At 39.5% G+C, this 17,637-nt stretch overlaps 1 protein-coding gene across 7 annotated transcripts in view; it reads right to left on the bottom strand.

Annotated features, from left to right (window-relative positions):
- Positions 1–17,637, bottom strand: part of GRIN2A (glutamate ionotropic receptor NMDA type subunit 2A) — a 429,505-nt gene that overhangs the window by 166,325 nt on the left and 245,543 nt on the right. The window lies entirely within an intron of this gene.

Here is a 17,637-nt window from a genome sequence, read left to right on the forward strand (position 1 = left end):
ACTCTCATCGTGGTCTCTGAGGACCTAGAGAACTTGGCTCCTCTCTCCAAATGCATGCTCCTCTGGCTCCTGCCGTTCTGACCATCATGCTGCTCCTCAGACCCTCCAAGCAATTTCCCAGTTCCAGGTCTTTGCCCTTGGCAGTCCCCAATCCAAAACGCTCTTTCCTCAGACTGTCATATTACTTTCTCATTCACTTCATCCAGGTATCTGCCAAATTTCACCTTCCCAACCATTCTGTCTAAAATAACCATCCTTCAGTCTCCATCCCTTTACTCTCTGCTCCGTTTCTCTTCCCATCCCATATCAATAGCAAATTGACATTGCCTGTATTCATTTATTTTCTCTCTTCTCACTAGAATAGGAGCTTTGAGCAGCATGCTTTTTTCTGTTTTGTGCGTGACTGTGTGTGTCTCATACTTACTATAAGGTCTCACCCATAGCAAGTGCACAATAGCTGACTGTTGAGGGTAAATGGATACATGAAAAGACAAATGAATGAAAACGGGTGAATGCATGAATGAATGAACGAATGAAAGAATTCCAGGAAATTGCTAGGTGAACATGGGTAACAGATGCCAGGGGACTGTTTTTATTCTGTGTGTTTTGTTTTGTTTTGCTTTCACCTCATCGGCTGAAGACAAACACCCTCTCCCAGTCCTGCATTCAGAGTTCTAAGAAATGCTCTCTTTTGAAAGATTTATTAAAGTCAAGATAAAATTTAAACTCAAGTAAATAGCTAAGAAGTATGATGGATCCCTCCTCCTGCTGTCATCTTTTACACTGAATGGAAAATATTTACCAGTGTCTTGGCCTCCCTGCATATATGTGAATTGAATTTTTTTTTTTTTTTCAGATGGAGTCTTGCTTGCTCTGTCACCAAGCTGGAGTGCAGTGACAAGATCTCGGCTCACTGCAACCTCGCCTCCCAGGTTCAAACGATTCCCCTGCCTCAGCCTCCTGCCGTAGCTGGGACTACAGGTGCACGCCACCACTCCCGGCTAATTTTTTTGTATTTTAGTAGATGGGGTTTCACCATGTTGGCCAGAAAGCTGACCTCGTGATCCCCCTGCCTCGGCCTCCCAAACTTTTAAAATCCAGGCAGACAAGCCCATTATAGACTGGTTTGCACCCAGTATCACAATTAAATCTTGGTTTCCTTCTTTCTTTCTACCTTTTATTTCCTTCCTTCTGCCTAGTCAGAATTACTAAGATTCCCTTGCTGGGGATTTTGCTCAATCCTCTGTAGAGTTAATATGTATGGGTCCTCCTCAGGGGTGCACGATGTCTCAAGGGACTCATTCCAGAACTAATTTAGAGGGAGTTGATGGTTCTGCATTTGAGCTTTTGACGATTCTTATAAACATTTTCCCAGGAAAGACTAGCTTCTCCCCTTTATTCTTCTGCCTGTTTTATTATTGGCAATGCCAAACATAGATCCCTGTGCTAATGACAATAATAATAATTAGTATTGATGACAACATTAACATTTTCAGAAAGGTTTTGTAGTTTATAAAATTAATTTCCATCAGTCACACTTTCATGATGAATTAACTCTAAAGACAAGCAAATGTCTCCTACCCACAAGGGAGAGATCTTTGTACCAGCTTCGCAGCATTGGAAGACGTCCTCGGACCGCATGAAAACACAACTGACCCCTTTTCTTTCCCCTGAGAAGCCAGAGAATCAGAAGATCGGGTGCTAAAGCCAGAGAGGTCATCTTGATACTGATCCTACCACTAACTGAGCCTCGGAAGGTCATTCTTCTCTCTGAAATCTTTTTCTCATGTGAAAATAGAAATAACACTACTACTTATTTCACAGAGATGTTGTGACAATAATATAAGATGGTGCATGTGAAAATCCTTAACATACCACCTAGATCAGAATAAGTGCTGTGGTAGCAATTATCATTATTGACTTATTCAATATATATTTATTAAGTGTCTACACTATGCTGGGTGCTGGTGCACAAAAGTAAAATGGACAAGGTTCCTGGAATTCATCATCATCTTCATCAATCATGATCACCTTATTATTAATAACCACAAAGAACCTAGAAGGTGTAGTGGAAGCAATGCACCTAGGTGTGGGAGAAAGAAAAACTGTGCTTCTGTCATGCCTTTGCCATGAGCCAGACAGCAAAACATTAACCCTGTCTCTTTGGGGCCTCAATTTCCTCATCTGTAACATAACACAGAGAAGTAATTTATTTTGATTTTGTAAAACCAGTTGAAAATACGTTGTTACAACTAATAATATATTTTATCATTTTGAGGCAAATTTTATAAATTATTAAAAACATAAAAAAGAGAAATTAGACTTTGATCTAATTTAAAGCAGACTCATTATCATCACTCATTTGCCGTCTAATCTTTCTTAAGTGGAAGAAAAGGGTTGGAGCTACCACTTACATCCTAGGGAGTGTGATGATATTGCAAAAGCACCCAGAAGCCTGCTTTGTACAAAGGAGAAAAATAATTACAAGTTAATGGCCTAAGTGATCTCCAGCATCCCTGCCTGCTCTGACATCATGAAATACAATTCCAGATTATTGTAACCAACACCATCAATCTGCAGATTTAAAAAAAAAAAAGGAGAATCAGAAAAGTTAAGAATCTTAACAAAGATTACAACCATATGCAGGAGCAAGCTAGGATTAAAACCCAATGTCTTAAATCTTAGTTTGGGTCCTATTTCCACTACCTCATAAAAACTCGGATGAAGGCAGGGAATGTGGCTTGCCTGAGAATTACATCCACGCCCATCTGGACCCAGTTTTCTATTATTTTTATTAGGAAACACATTCTTCATGCCCTCATACCCACAAACCTCTCTGTAGACATCAATTCCTGACTGTTCTGAGCAGCAACTAACCAAGCAAAGAGCCAAATGTCCCTGTGACTTGGTTAACTGAAGATGGACCGCATGCCTGAGTGAAGAACAGTTTCCCAAAGAGGCTTGGATTTCTGCCAAGGGACAACTTGAGTAAAGAGTCGTTTTTATTTATTCTTTTACCCATAGGTTATTTAGAAGTTTGTTATTTAGTGTGCAAACATTTGGGGAATTTCTGGAGATCTTTCAGTTATTAGATTCTAATTAATTTCAAAGTGGTCACAGAAATACTTTGTGTTAGTGAATCCTTTTAAATATACTAAAACTTGTTTTATGGCCTAGAATATGATATATCCTCATAAATTTTCTGTATACATTTGAAAAATGTGTGTTCTGTTGTTGGGTGGAGTGTTCCACAAGCAAATATTAGGTCAACTTGGTTGTGACATTGTTAAAATCATCTGTATCTTTACTAACTTTGCTCGTTCTAGCAATTATTAAGAGTATTGAAATCTCCTACTATAATTATGAATTTATTTCCCCTTGCAGTTGCATCAGTTTTGCTTCATTATTTTGAAGCTATACTAGATGCATAGTTTGATCTTTTTGATGAATTGACTCATTTATCATAATGAAATGGCAATATTTAATGCCAAAAATCTTCATGATCTGAAATCTACTTAGTGTCTTATTAATACAGCCAGTCCAGTTTTTTAAAATTAGTATTAGTGTGTACATATTTTTCCATATTTCAACTTTCAACCTATTTATGCTTTTATATTTAAAGTGGGTTTCTTATGGGCACCTTAGAGTTGGTTCTTGCTTTGTGATGTTTATACTATTTACATGTAATGTGATTATTAATACAGTAGGTTTAAACCTATCATCTTGCTATTTGTTCTATCTAATCTTTGTTCTCTTTTTCCTTTCTACTTACCTTCTTTTGATAAGTTGAATATTTTTTATCATTCTGTTTTATTTCCTTTGTGGCTTATTAGCCAGAGCATTGGGGTTTTTTTAATGTTAGTGGTTTGTTTAGAGTTTATAGTATATATTTTAAATTTATCATGGTTATCTTCAAGTGATGTTATACCACTATACTACGTAAGTATACCATAAGACCTTCAAATAGTATACTTTGATTTCCCTGCTAATCTTTGTGCTATTGTTGTCATATTTACTTTTAACAACCTATTAACCTCATGCTACATTGTTAGTATTTTTGTTTTAAAAGTAATTTATCTTTTAAAATGATTTCATTGTTTAAAAATCCTCATGTGAGGCTGGGCATGGTGGCTCACGTCTGTAATCCCAGCACTTTGGGAGGCCAAGGTGGGTGGATCACTTGAGGCCAGGAGTTCGAGACCAGCCTGGCCAACATGGTGAGACCTCATCTCTACTAAAAATACAAAAATTAGCCGGGCTTGGTGGCATGTGCCTGTAATCCCAGCTACTCAGGAGGCTGAGGCAGGAGAAGGTGGAGGTTGTAGTGAGCCGAGATTGCACCACTGCACTCCAGCCTGGGCAGCAGAGTGAGACTTGGTCTCAAAAAAAAAAAAAAAAAAAAAAAAAAAAACAAAAACCTCATGCGTTTAACAATCTAGTTTTTGTTTAATTGCTTTTCATTCTTTTGTGATGATCCATATTCTGTTTGGTATTACTTTCTTTCTCCCTGAAGAACTTCATTTAATATTTTTTTGTAATGCAGATCTGCTGCTAATTCTTCCAGTTATTCTATTCTAAAAAGTATTTCATTTTCACTGTGGAAAGATATTATTACTGTGCAAAGAATTCTAAGTTTACATTGTTTTCTTTCAGTACAAAATATCTTTCTGCATTCTTTTCTAACCTGTATTGTTTCCGACGAGAAGTCGGCTGACATCTTTTTTCACTCTGACAGCTTTCAACTGTGGTATATCTTTTTAGCTGATATATCTTTAAAACTGATTTTGAGAAATTTGATTATGCTATGTCTTCATATTTCTCATTCTCAGGATTTAAGTTTTTTGAACTGAGGGTTTATAGTTTTCATTAAATTTGAAAATTTTTCATTCCATTATTTTTCCAAAATTCTTCCTGCCCCCTTTTACTTCAGGGATTCAAATTAAACATATATTAAAATCCTCAGTCGTGCTCAATGCATAGTTCAATTGTGTTTTCTCTAAGAGTTTCATTTGGGGAAATTACTTTGTTTTCAAGTTCACTGATTTTTTTCTTCTTCAATGTCAAACCTGCCATTAATCCATCCAGTGTAGTTTTTATCTCATGCATTGTAGATTTTATATCTAGTAGTTTGATATGGTTCTTTAAAAAACATTCTCTATGTCTCCACTTGAATTTTTGAACCTATGAAGTTGAGAGTTAGAGTTACTCTCTATAGTAATAGCCCCATGTGCCAATTCCAACATTCATTTAAATCTGGGTAAGTTGTTACATGATATTTTTTCATTATGGATTATATTTCCCTGCTGCTTTGCATGCCTGGTAACTTTTGATGGGATGGAAGAAATTATAAATTTTAACTTTTTTCGTGCTGATATTTTTGTATTACTATAAATATCACTGAGCTCTGTTCTAGAGTGACTAAGTTACTTGGAAACAGTTTGATCTTTTCAAATTTTGCTTTTGATATTTGTTAGGCAGAGTGAGAGCAATTCATAGTCTACAGCTAATTATTTCTCCATTATTGAGACAACCCCCTTCTGTGTACTCAACTCAGTGCCCATGAATAACTGGGTTTTCTAGTCTGACTAGCGGCTAACCCTCACTCCACGTGAGTCCTGGGCTCTGTTATTTTCAATCTTTGGGAGGCTTCTTTCTTTGGCTTTAGGTAGTGTCCTCACCCTTATGTTGAGCAGTATTCAGCTCAACACTAAGGTGGGCCTTAGGCAGATCTCCATTTACGCGGATCACTTTTCTCAGGTACTCTCTCCTATGAAATCCAGCTGCTTTTGTTTCCTAGATTCAACTTTGTCTCTGCCATTCAGGGAGTCTGCCACACTTGAATCCCCTATCCTTAAGTTGCAGCCTGGAAACTCTCTCAAGGTGGTGAGTGGAGCCATAAATAAAATGTGGTAAACTCACTTATTTTAGTTTCTATCTTCTTTTCCCCAATATTCAGGGTCTTAAAAACAATCATTTCAAATTTTTTGTCCATTTTGGTTGTTTCAGTCTGTAGGGGATATTACAGTCCATCTTGGTCTGAAGTAGCAGTCAATAGAATGGAATTCATTGAAGGTAAATAAGACCATTAAATCTCTCAAACATATCTCCAAGTAGTTAGAATTTACAAACCCCAAATTTATTTTTAAAGCAAATATTGAAACCCCCAGTATGACTAAGAAAAAGAAAGCAGATTGGAACCAAATACTTTACTACGTTAAATGACACATTGGAAATTTTCAAGACAATTTCTTAAGCAAGTAATACGGGTTCCATCCGGCTCCATCATTTGCCATTCACTTGACAAATGTCATAACGCCACTGCACACCCCACCAGAGCAAATATTTTCTTCCAACCTTAAAATAACATCTACAAATTAATTCAGTCTGTCAAGGGGAACTCTCCTTGGGTAATTCAGGAAGTTTTTGCCTTTGGGTAAGGCACTCTAGGCACAAACAACTCAAATTCTCACCTGTAAGTTGAACCAAGAAGGAGGTTTATGATCTACAGCTACATGAAATGATCACTTAGTCGCAGATGACTATGTACCAGACACACCCAGCTGTAATTTTGAAAGCCAAGTTCATTTTACTTTGTTTTGAGAAAATGTGGGCAAAAGATTAGAGGCGCCTCTCCAATCTTGGGAAGCCTCTAGTCATGGAAAATCATATCCCAGCAGTGCTTTATATGATTTCACCTGCAGCTTTAAGTAAGAATGTTTGACCAGTAATGCTGTAAGCATATAGGATAAGAGAGACCTATGTTGTACACACTTCCAGTTGTGCTAACTCAGGTATGAAGATCTCTGGAGGTGAGCTATCAAAACTCCCTGTTATTGCTCATTCTAATATCTGCCAATCTTAATAATCATCAAGTTCTTGTTTTGGAAATAAATACACATAATGATGATTATGATAAAAATAATAAAAATGAGTACAAGACAACCTGGGATAAAATACTTTAAAAAGCCCTGGAGGTAACATGGATAAATAAACCAACCCAGGTGGGGACTAAGGTGTACTGCGCAGAGATGACAGTCACTTCCAGCTTCCAGTTGATCATTAGCAGGTCAGGATATGGGATTATTATCACTAACTCCATCTTTTTCATGGTAAACAAAAAATATAATTTTTGTGAAATCTGATGATAGTGTTTAAACATTGGGACTTTACTTTTGGAAACAGGAAAAACACTCTAAGTTTAAAAAAAAAAAACATGCACACAACACAGGTCAATTTGCAGCCTCTGAAAGTCGTAACGTGGGGTTTGGAACCAAAGGAAACTGGATTTAACTTCTGGCTCCATTTTACATTACCTGTGTGGCTCTTTTCAAGTTCTATAACTTCTCTAGTCCTGTTTACTTATCTGTAATATGAATCATGATTTTTAATTGACCTGCTGGTACTCTAGCATTCATTTACCTCTTTCTCATTGTTAACAGAACTCAAATTTTATTGAGACTTCATGCCTCCTGTAAGAATCTATGGAACTCAAGGGAAGTTTACCCCATTCCCAGCTCCAGGAGTAGGTCTGGTTTGATTTAACCTATTTGCCTTCTCTGTGACTGGGTCAGGAGTTTGGAGTTAAGCCAGTCAGTACCTGGCATTTTCAAAATCACCATTATTGGCCCAAGATGGGTACATGACCTAATTTGGCCACAAAGAAGTCTTCCCAGGTGTTACCAGCAAACTTGAGGTAACGAGGAAGTCAGTTAGAGAAAAAAAATCACACTGCCCAAAAAGCAGAGTCAAGAGATCATAGAGAAAAGAACTAGAAGCTTGATTATATTGCACCTGAAGTCCAAACTTCTTCTGGAATTTTTGTTACGGGAACTAATTCAATCACATAACTTTGAGTTAACTTGATTGCTACCTGCAGTAAAAACATCCTAACTCACATCTAAGGATGAAAGATAATATATTTAAACAGATTGACACATAGGAGGAAGTCAATACATGGTAGGTCTTACCCTTAGAGTACTTTCACGTTTAAAAATATATATGCTTAGATAATATAACCTATGAAACTTGAAGTTTCCCCACTCACCCTCACATACATAATGATGCGTTGATTAAATTAAATTGTTTAAACTTCCTCTTATTAATAGTGATGGAAATGAAAAGGAAATGAGCACATTTCTCAGGAGAGCTATTTTCTATCACATGGAAAACTGGGCAGTGTGGATTTACTCTTTGTGTTTGGCCAGGACTTAACCAAATGAAGCAGATCCTCAGGAAGCTGACTGTGGGGATTTGGACAATGGTACACCAGACACCAGCAGATCTGCCAGTTCATTTACCCAACTTTGAGGCCCATGTAGAAATGTGGCTGGCCTCCCATGCCCACGCAGAACACAGCTAGCACCATCACGCTGGACCGTGACTCCTCCATCCCTAAGATTCATGCCAGGATTTGAGGCACCAGGAACCTGGACGGGGGCTCATTCACACCTGCAGGCAGGCAGCATCCACATGGAAGCAAGAGGTGAGAGAAGCAAAGAAGCAAGGAGACAAAGGCAGAGAACAGGTGGAGAGGCCCGTTCTGCCTCTCTTGCTCCCACCTGGAAGGGATGATCAGGAGAGCTTTTGGCCTATATATAGATAGAGGTGCATAGACAGATACTCTTTCAGGAAAGCAAACCAACGATAGCTCATAAGTTAATCGGTCGTGAGCACCTGCCCCTTTATACTTTGCTGCATGCTTCTCCCTTTTGGTAGAAAGGATTTTTAACTTTGTCTTTTTGTACAATATCAGATGTTGCCCAAATCGTGTCCAGAATGAAACAAAAACAGAGGTTTTCCCCCTGCCTGAACTATCACTCCCTCATCTCTCCAGACCCCAAAAGCTCCATCGCCTCCTCATCTCTCCAGATCCAAAGTTCCATCACTCGTCACTTACTCATCTGTCCAGACCAAAGCTCTATCACCTCCTCATCTCTCCAGACTCAAAGCCCCATCACCTCCTCATCTGTCCAGATCTAAAGTTCCATTACCTTCTTATCTCTCCAGACCCAATGCTCCACCACCCATCACCTCCCTCATCCGTCGAGACCCAAAGCTTCATCACTTCCTTATCTCTCCAAAGCCAAAACTTGACTTGCCATACTTTCTCAATGTACTGATTAAATAAAACTGCCGGTAGGATTAACTCTGCAAGGATGCACCCAACCCAGATATATTCACCATAGCCATAGATTACACATTTTTGGAAGGCCTACTACGATGTCTATCATGGAGCAAACACTGTGCAGACGCCCACCAGGCATCAAAACAAAATCAACATTGGGAACAGAGTCTCCATGTGGGAAGAGCACCTGGAATTTACAGCGTAACTCTTTCTCTCCAACATTCTCCTTTCCCTTGGAGGATTATTTACCAATTAATGTTAAAGTTCCTCATGGTTTAAACCCAGGCCCTCCTGAGTCATCATTCTCCCCTGCAAGACCTTGCCCAGTCGTAGGGCTTTGACTGCCATCAATAAGCTCAAATCCTGTGTATTGCATTTTCGGTTTGTACTCAGACTCTTCTCTCTGATTGCCTACTGAGATTTCCACTTGGATATCTCAAAAGTATGTCTAATTTAACATGTCTAAAATTGGATGTCCCTGACTCTCTGTTCCCCAACATTTCTTTCCTCATTTCTTCTGTTTAGTAAAAGACACCACCATCTACTCAGCTATACAAGAGGAAAATTATTATTATAGCTCTTTTAACACCTCATATTCATCTGTCAAGTCTTGTCAATTTTATAGCCCAAATATGCATTAAGCCTGCCCACTTCTCTCTGAATCCACAGCTATTACTGTAATGCAAGTCACCACTTCCTCTTTCCTAGACCTGTGCTATGATCTCCCAACCAGCCTATGTTTCTACACATTAAAGCCTCCCAGCCCCAGTATACACTCTGTTAGCAGGCATCAGAGTAATAGAGATGGGGCTTAATTTGCTTTGTTTTTTCACAAAAGAGAGTGGCAACAAATAATTAGCACATGTCACCAAATTACTAAATTTCAAAATGAAAACTTCTCTAGTATTCATCCCTGGAGGAAATAGATCAATGTGCCTTTTTGTTCGGCATTCTGGTTCCAAAATCCTAAGACTTACATCTGGCCTAAGGCAAATGTGAACAATATTTGTGCTTTATGTGTGACCCCAAAACAACCCAAACCACCTTTCCCTCAAGGTAAAGGCACGGCCAACTTCTGGTCCTCCCAAGCTGCCAGCATCAGGTTTCTACCATTTGTCGAGCTATTCATTGGGTGCCAATTGGAAATGATTGACTTGCATTGCAGGGCTGGCATACGGTTCTTTTGACTTCCAGCCATAAAAGGGAGGGCTGTGTTCCAGGAGAGATGCCACAAACAGAGATGATGCTGAAGAGAGGCTGTTGACTTAGTGCTCAGGCTGAACACCCAGCAAGCTCAGCCCACTCTCATGGGTCCATCAGGCCTAGATCAAGCTGTGCCTCTAGTCCAGGAGAGGAGGAGAATTAACACCTGTAGAGTGCCGACTATATCCTAGATGCTTGACTAAGCACAATACCTGCATTTAAGTGGTATCATCCTCCCTATTCTTGGAATTTTCTCTGTTTACAATCAAGGAAATGGAGGCTCAAAGAAGTTAAGGAACTCTCCCAGAATAACCCAGATAATAAGAGGGTTTGAACACAGCACTGTCTAAGTCTACATTCCACAAAGTCACATAGCTTTGGGAAAAATGATTTGTGTTCCTCTGGATTCTCTCACCTCGTATCTCTTGCTGATTTACTTTGAGACTCAGCTGTTTTTCCCACTTCTGAGTTCAGAGTCCCAATCAGATGTACAGCAAAGGCCCACAGGACAGCTTGGCCTCTGAGGTGCCTGATTTCACTGCGAGAAGTGTTTGTTGAGCATATGGTGATCTCCCAGATAAATATTTGCAAAGAGTTAATCACATTCACCTAGGGAAGTTTTAACTCTGGTCAAGCTCAGAGAATTAACTGAGCAGGCATTTCTATTGGCATTACAAAAAACCAACAGTGATCATTCTGATTACTAAATAAAAATATGTCAACCAGGTTTAGCACAGTCTCTTAATGGGTCATTAAACCAAGAATTTTTCCTATGTTATTTTAGAAATGAAGATTTAAAGTAGTATCAATGTAACTTAGACATGAATAAAACTCTTTCTCACATATATATCTTCCTTCTATTTCCCTTTCTGCAGGGGTAATAATTTACAATGTTGTTGGTTTTTAAAGCTGAAGCCTGACTTCATAACTCAAGAAGTCAATCCAAAACACATAAATGGTCATGCCAGGTGTCATCAATGAAGGCCAAATAACTTCCCTTCAATACTAATTCATAACTCTCCTGGGATAAGACTTTTTTTGCCCCCTCATTTGTGCTATAGATCTACTTGAGCTCTTCTACTTGATTTCCAGTGCAGTAACTTCTCCATGTCCTACTTCCCTAACTAAAATGGGAACCACACAGAACATACAGTTGTAATTCAGTAATTAAAGAATAGAACTGAAATGCACTTCCATTGCTTGCTTTCCTAGCTTACTCAGAGCTTGCAGTGTAACAAGTATAAAGTTATAATAATGATGATGATGACCACAATAATAAGAAAAATAAAATTATAATAATGACCTGATAGTTATTTGTAAAATGCCTTCTCCATGCCTGGCACCATGCTAAATGTATATACTTTAAGATGTTACAAGAAGAAGAGATGTCTATCTTACACACGCACCCTCTTTAGGAAAACTCCTGGGTTCACAGTTGTTAATAACTTATACTTGGTAAATATGTGGTAAATTCATAGTCAAGTCTGTCATACTACCTAGACCATGAAGTTTTCTTGATGCCACACTGCCCTCTTCCCAATGGCCATATTTCTCCCAAGGTAATCCTTTGGTAAGAGGGTTTTGGTCTGAAAAACATCCACCCTCTCCCTTCTATGACCTCCTCTTCAGTAAGTGTAAAATGTGTCCCCTCCGCTGTGGAATAAGAAACACATATATGCATGCAGAGAGAAAGACACACACACACGCACACAAAAATGCAGGTAAACGTGTGCACATGTGTGTATATACATACCCATGTACATATATGTGTGCAAAAACACCTGTAGACATTCACAAACACACAGCACTCACAGCACAAACTTAATGCTTTGCATTTCATAAAACCACAGGCTAAAATGTGATATGAATTTCACCTGGGTCTATATGCTTGAACCAAGCCCCAAATAGGCATTAGTGGCTAGAGCTTTAAGCACCAGAGGAAATAAATAAAAGCTACCAAAAAGCAGCTTGGAAAATAATCACAGAGCATTGAGTCACCCAGATCCTACTCCTCTTGTTAGGTGCTGTGCTTTAGCATAAGGACATTTTTCTTTCTCCTATACCTCCAACTTGGGAGGCTGGGCCTCTACTATGGAATATTCCACTGGCCCCCAAACCTCAGAGCAAACAATAGATGAATGACAGCCCTGCCCCGCCTGATAATCACATGATGGCCTTTTTGTGTCTCTCCAACTATGAATAATTGGTGCTTAGCTTATGTAAGACACCAAAGACATTTTTTGAATGAACAAATGGTAATATCATGGGCTATGGCATGAAGAGACACTTACTTCACTCATAACTTTATTTCATTTTTATTTTATTTTATTTTTTTTGAGAGACTGGGTCTTGCTCTGTCGCCCAGGCTGGAATGCAGTGACGTGATCTCAGCTCACTGCAACCTCCACCTCCCAGGTTCAAGTGATTCTCCTGCCTCAGCTTCCCAAGTAGCTGGGACTACAGGCGTGCACCACCACACCCAGCTAAAGTTTGTATTTTTTTTTTTTAGTAGAGATAGGGTTTTACCATGTGTTGGCCAGGCTGGTCGAACTCCTGACCTCAAGTGATCTGCCTGCCTCAGCCTCCCAAAGTGCTGGGATTACAAGTATGAGCCACCACGCCCGGCCTAATAACTTTAGATCTACAAGTTTCATCCATAGTAGTAACCATTTACAGACTGCTTTTCCATACGCCACACACTGGTCTAAGATGCAAATGCTTTTCTTGTCCCCATATTACACCTGAGGGAGCCGACGTGGAGTTCAGTGACTCACCCAAGGTCCGAAGTCTAAAAAAGTACAGATTAGGTTCGAACCCATGCAACCTGGCCCCAGTGCCCATGCTCTTAACCGTGATGCCACTGCCTCCCAGGGGGCCCTGGCCACTCCTGAACTGGACAGATTCTTGTGATGGAACCGGACACAACAGCCGGGATTCCACCAGCCAAACAGGTCATGGTTTACCTTCACAATTTTGGGAGTTAACAGTGACATGGTCTGTGCTTGGTGAAGGAACAGATGTTTAATAACTGTGCAGTAGCAAGGAGGTTATATAACATGGCTGAGCTATTTTTAAACTTTGGAAAATGCTGACTGCTCTTTTCAAAGTGTCTTCTGTAAAATCAGGAATATTAAACATGAAGAAAATGTCCCCCTTTCCTGTACTTTTTTTTGCCTGAAACTCTATGTACAGAAACGGTTGGGTGTAAGGTCATGAACATACCTTCCCTTGCAAGCAGCCCCTGGTACCACGCCCAGCCCATGAGCAACAATATCCTAACTGCACCAGCTCTTTGCCTGAGATTATAAATAAAGTCCATGAGGACCACCAAGTGGCATGTCTAGCTGGCCCCATGACTTTGTTCTCAACCAGTCAAATCTGGATCCCAGATCCCCTCAGTAACTCACCACGAAGATATCAGGTATGACCTCATCTGAACTTCTTCTGGAGCTATTTGCAACCTCCCTGCTACATAGGAGGAATAGTGAGAGCTATTTGTTTATCAGATGCTTTGCAGAGTAAGACCTTAATCCAGCTGCAAATGTAATTTTTAAGCTTGAAGTGAAGAACTCCTAACTCCAGAGTCCTGGGCTTCTATTGAACAAGCTGGTAGATCTAACACAGGCTACAGATAGGTCTGTTCTCTGCTTTCAGCTATCCAGACTGAAAAATATCTTACTATAAAAAAACCTAAATGTCCATCAAAGAGGAATTATGTAAGTGTAAAGATGGAACACTTATACAACAGAATATCATCAATAAAATAAATGCAATTGAATTATCTTCATAGAGGGATTTTGAAAACATAAGGTTGAGGTAAAGGAAGTTCTAACACATTAGACACCATTTTTGTACGTTAGACAGAAGTATGCATTGGGAATACGGTTGCACATGTATGTGTATTGAAAGTACGAACACATGTACATGGATTTGGATGTAAACCAAACTGATTATCATGTTTTCCCTTCTATGGAGAGAACAGGAGAAAACTGGGACAGGGAAACAGATAGAATCAGAACTTCTACATTATCATTAATGTTTTATTGCTTTCAAAATGTTGAAACAAACATTAACCTTTGGCAGGTTTAGCTTTGTTCCCTATGATGAATATCGGGTTGAGTATTTTATCAGATTCTGTTGTTTTCTGTACTATTCTTTTTTCAATATTAAAAAAAGAATTCTTATTCCTAAGTTTGTCTTTAGATAAATTTCCCCCACCTTGATCAGACTGTATGGTGTTTGAGGAGAGAAATTATATCTTAATTCATCTATGTATCCCAGGGGCTAGCACAGAGTCTGTTGGTTGGAAGCAATGATAGACAGAGGATAGAATATAGTGCCTTGACCAGGTGTGGTGGCTCATGCCTGTAATCCCAGCACTTTGGGAGGCCAAGGCGGGTGGATCACCTGAGGTCACCAGTTTGAGACCAGCCTAGACAACATGGTGAAACCTCGTCTCTACTAAAAATACAAAAATTAGCCAAATGTGGTAGTGCGCACCTGTAGTCCCAGTTACTTAGGAGGGTGGGGCGGGAGAATTGCTTAATCCAGGAGGCAGAGGTTGTAGTGAGCCGAGATTGTGCCACAGCACTCCAGTCTGGGAGACAGAGCGAGACTCTGTCTAAAAAAAAAAAAAAAAAAAAAAAAAAAGGAGATATAATCCTTTTTGTTTTTTTGTTTTTAAATGCTTTCTTTGGCCTTTCTCTAGCTCCCTGTCAAGGGCAGCCTGGCAGGTTTCCACTATTCCCTGGGGTGGGCGTCAGGGACCGTGGGAGAGTGTGGGAAGGAGAGACTGCTTGTGCCTTATCCAAACTTACACACTGGGTGGACACCACCAGCCCTGCATGGATGGAGAGATGTTTCATTAAACACCAAGCAGTGGATGGCGACTTACCACGCTTGATGCATTGCTTCTCTGGGGCTGAAATACCATTTACAAAATTACTGTGTTTAAAGGCGTAACTTTGGGAAATTGCGCAACAGCATTTCACAGCAGCAGAATTTTTTAAAAAAAGCATAGAATCCAGGGTGGTCACTGGAAAGGGATCTAAATGTCTTGCCAATTATCCTTCTAGAATTCCTTTTCCTGTATATGTTATATTTCAATTGCCCTAAAATTGATTTATGTTTCCATCAAAATTATATGTTTCTGAATATTCCAGCTGCAGGGCACATATTATGATGGAAGTGAGAATTCATTAGCCTCGTTTGTGTCTTTGGGCTGGCAGCAATCCTGCCTCTGTAAGAGACTCCCATGTCTCATGCTGATTTATCTGAGTTCCTTCCTGATATCTGGACAATTATTTAAAATGCTGAAAGTGGCAGTGTAGAAACAGGATTACTAAAGAGAGTAAAAGGACAGAGGACGGAGAAATGTCAAAGGAGCATGATTTCTTAATTCAAGGTTCATTTTTCAGATTTATGTTAATTGTAAGAAGTATATTCTGTCTACTTCATCACACACACACACACACACACACACACACACACACACACACACACACTCCTCCAGCCCCAGTTCAGAGATAACCTCTGAACTGTAGCAGATTCAAAGTCCTAAAGCCTTCCAGAAATATTTCAGAGTGACATAGTACCCTGCTGGTAATAAACCAACATGGTTTGTTGACTGTATTTCCCTTTTATTATTATTATTTTTTTGAGATGGAATCTCACTCTGTCACCCAGGCTGAAGTGCAGTGGTGCGATCTCAGCTCACTGCAACCTCTGCCTCTCCCTCTTGGGTTCAAGTGATTCTCCTGCCTCAGCCTCATGAGTAGCTGGGATCACAGGCATGCTCTACCACACCTGGCTAACATTTGTATTTTTAGTATAGACAGGGTTTCACCATGTTGACCAGGCTGGTCTCAAACTCCTGGCCTCCAGCGATCCACCCACCTCGGCCTCCCAAAGTGCTAGGATTACAGGCATGAGCTACCACACCCAGCCTGCTGACTGTAATTTCTGATGACCAAAAACTTCACTGATCACTCTGGAAGTTATTTAGTATTACTATGTGGTAAATACCGTGCTAAACAGTACTTTTCATGCGGCACCTCAATGAATATGACAATCTCTAGAACATTGGTCCTCAAAGCACAGCCCCTAGACCAAGAACATCAACATCACCCAAAAACTTGAAAGAAATTGCAAATTCTCTGGGCTCACCCCATATTTTCTATTACATTAGAAACTCTGAGATTGAGGCCCAGTAATTTGTGTCTTAACAAGTCCTCCCAGAGATTCTGATGCCTGCTGAGGCTTGAGAACCACTGCCTAGAAATTAGGTGCTATTATCATCACTTTGCAATAAACACCTGAGGCCCAGAAAAGTAAAATGATGTGCAAGTCATACAGAAAGTGGACGAGACAAGCTTTGAACCCAGACAAGTCTAACTCCAGAGTTGAGGCCCTTAATCACAGTTCTACACTGCTCATTATCTGAGGAATAAAGCGTGGATTAAATCAGTGAACATCAGGCAAAACCATGCAAAATTGGGATAGGAGTGATCATTCTAAATCTCAACAGCTGAACCATAATGATGGGCCACAAGGAACAATGACACTTCTCAGAAACCTAAAATTTAACTTAAATGTTCGCCAAGATGGGAGTAGCTAAATAAATTATGATACATTCACATAATGGAATATAATGCGGTTCTGTGAGTAATGTTTGCCAAGATTTCCAATGGCCTACAAAAATACTTAGAATATAAGAAGGGAAAAAATCAAATGCAAAATCAAACAGAGACCAGGAGCACTAGTGTGGGAAGTTTCCCCAAAGCGTAACATGTTGGTGAGGATGTGGGAAACTGGGTAGTTTCACAAACTGTTGTTGTGACTATAAATTGGTGTTGTTACTTTGCAGGACAATCTGGCAATAGATGCTTCCATTTAAAAATGCACATGAATTAGGACCCAAAAATCCTATATCTTAGAATCAACCCTAGAAAAAACACTTGCACATGTGCTTAGACATGTATAAAGATTATCACAGCTGTTTAGCTTCTAATAGGAAGCTTCAAAATCCCTAAATTAAATGTTTATAAGACAAATGATGAATTCTTGAGGTGATGAAAACCCCATTTACCCTGATGTGATTATCAAACATTGTATGCCTGTACCAAAATACTTCACTTATCCCATAAATAAACACATTTTTGTATTGGGGGTTGGGGCGGGAGGTGGGGATGATCAATAGGGTAAAAAAAAACATAGAAAGAATGAATAAGACCTACTATACGATAGCATAATAGGGTGACTATAGTCAATAATAAATGACTTGTGTATTTTAACATAAAGAATATAATTGA

The sequence above is a fragment of the Homo sapiens genome, chromosome 16 (genome assembly GCF_000001405.40).
Source record: "Homo sapiens chromosome 16, GRCh38.p14 Primary Assembly".
Taxonomy (NCBI): Eukaryota; Metazoa; Chordata; class Mammalia; order Primates; family Hominidae; genus Homo; species Homo sapiens.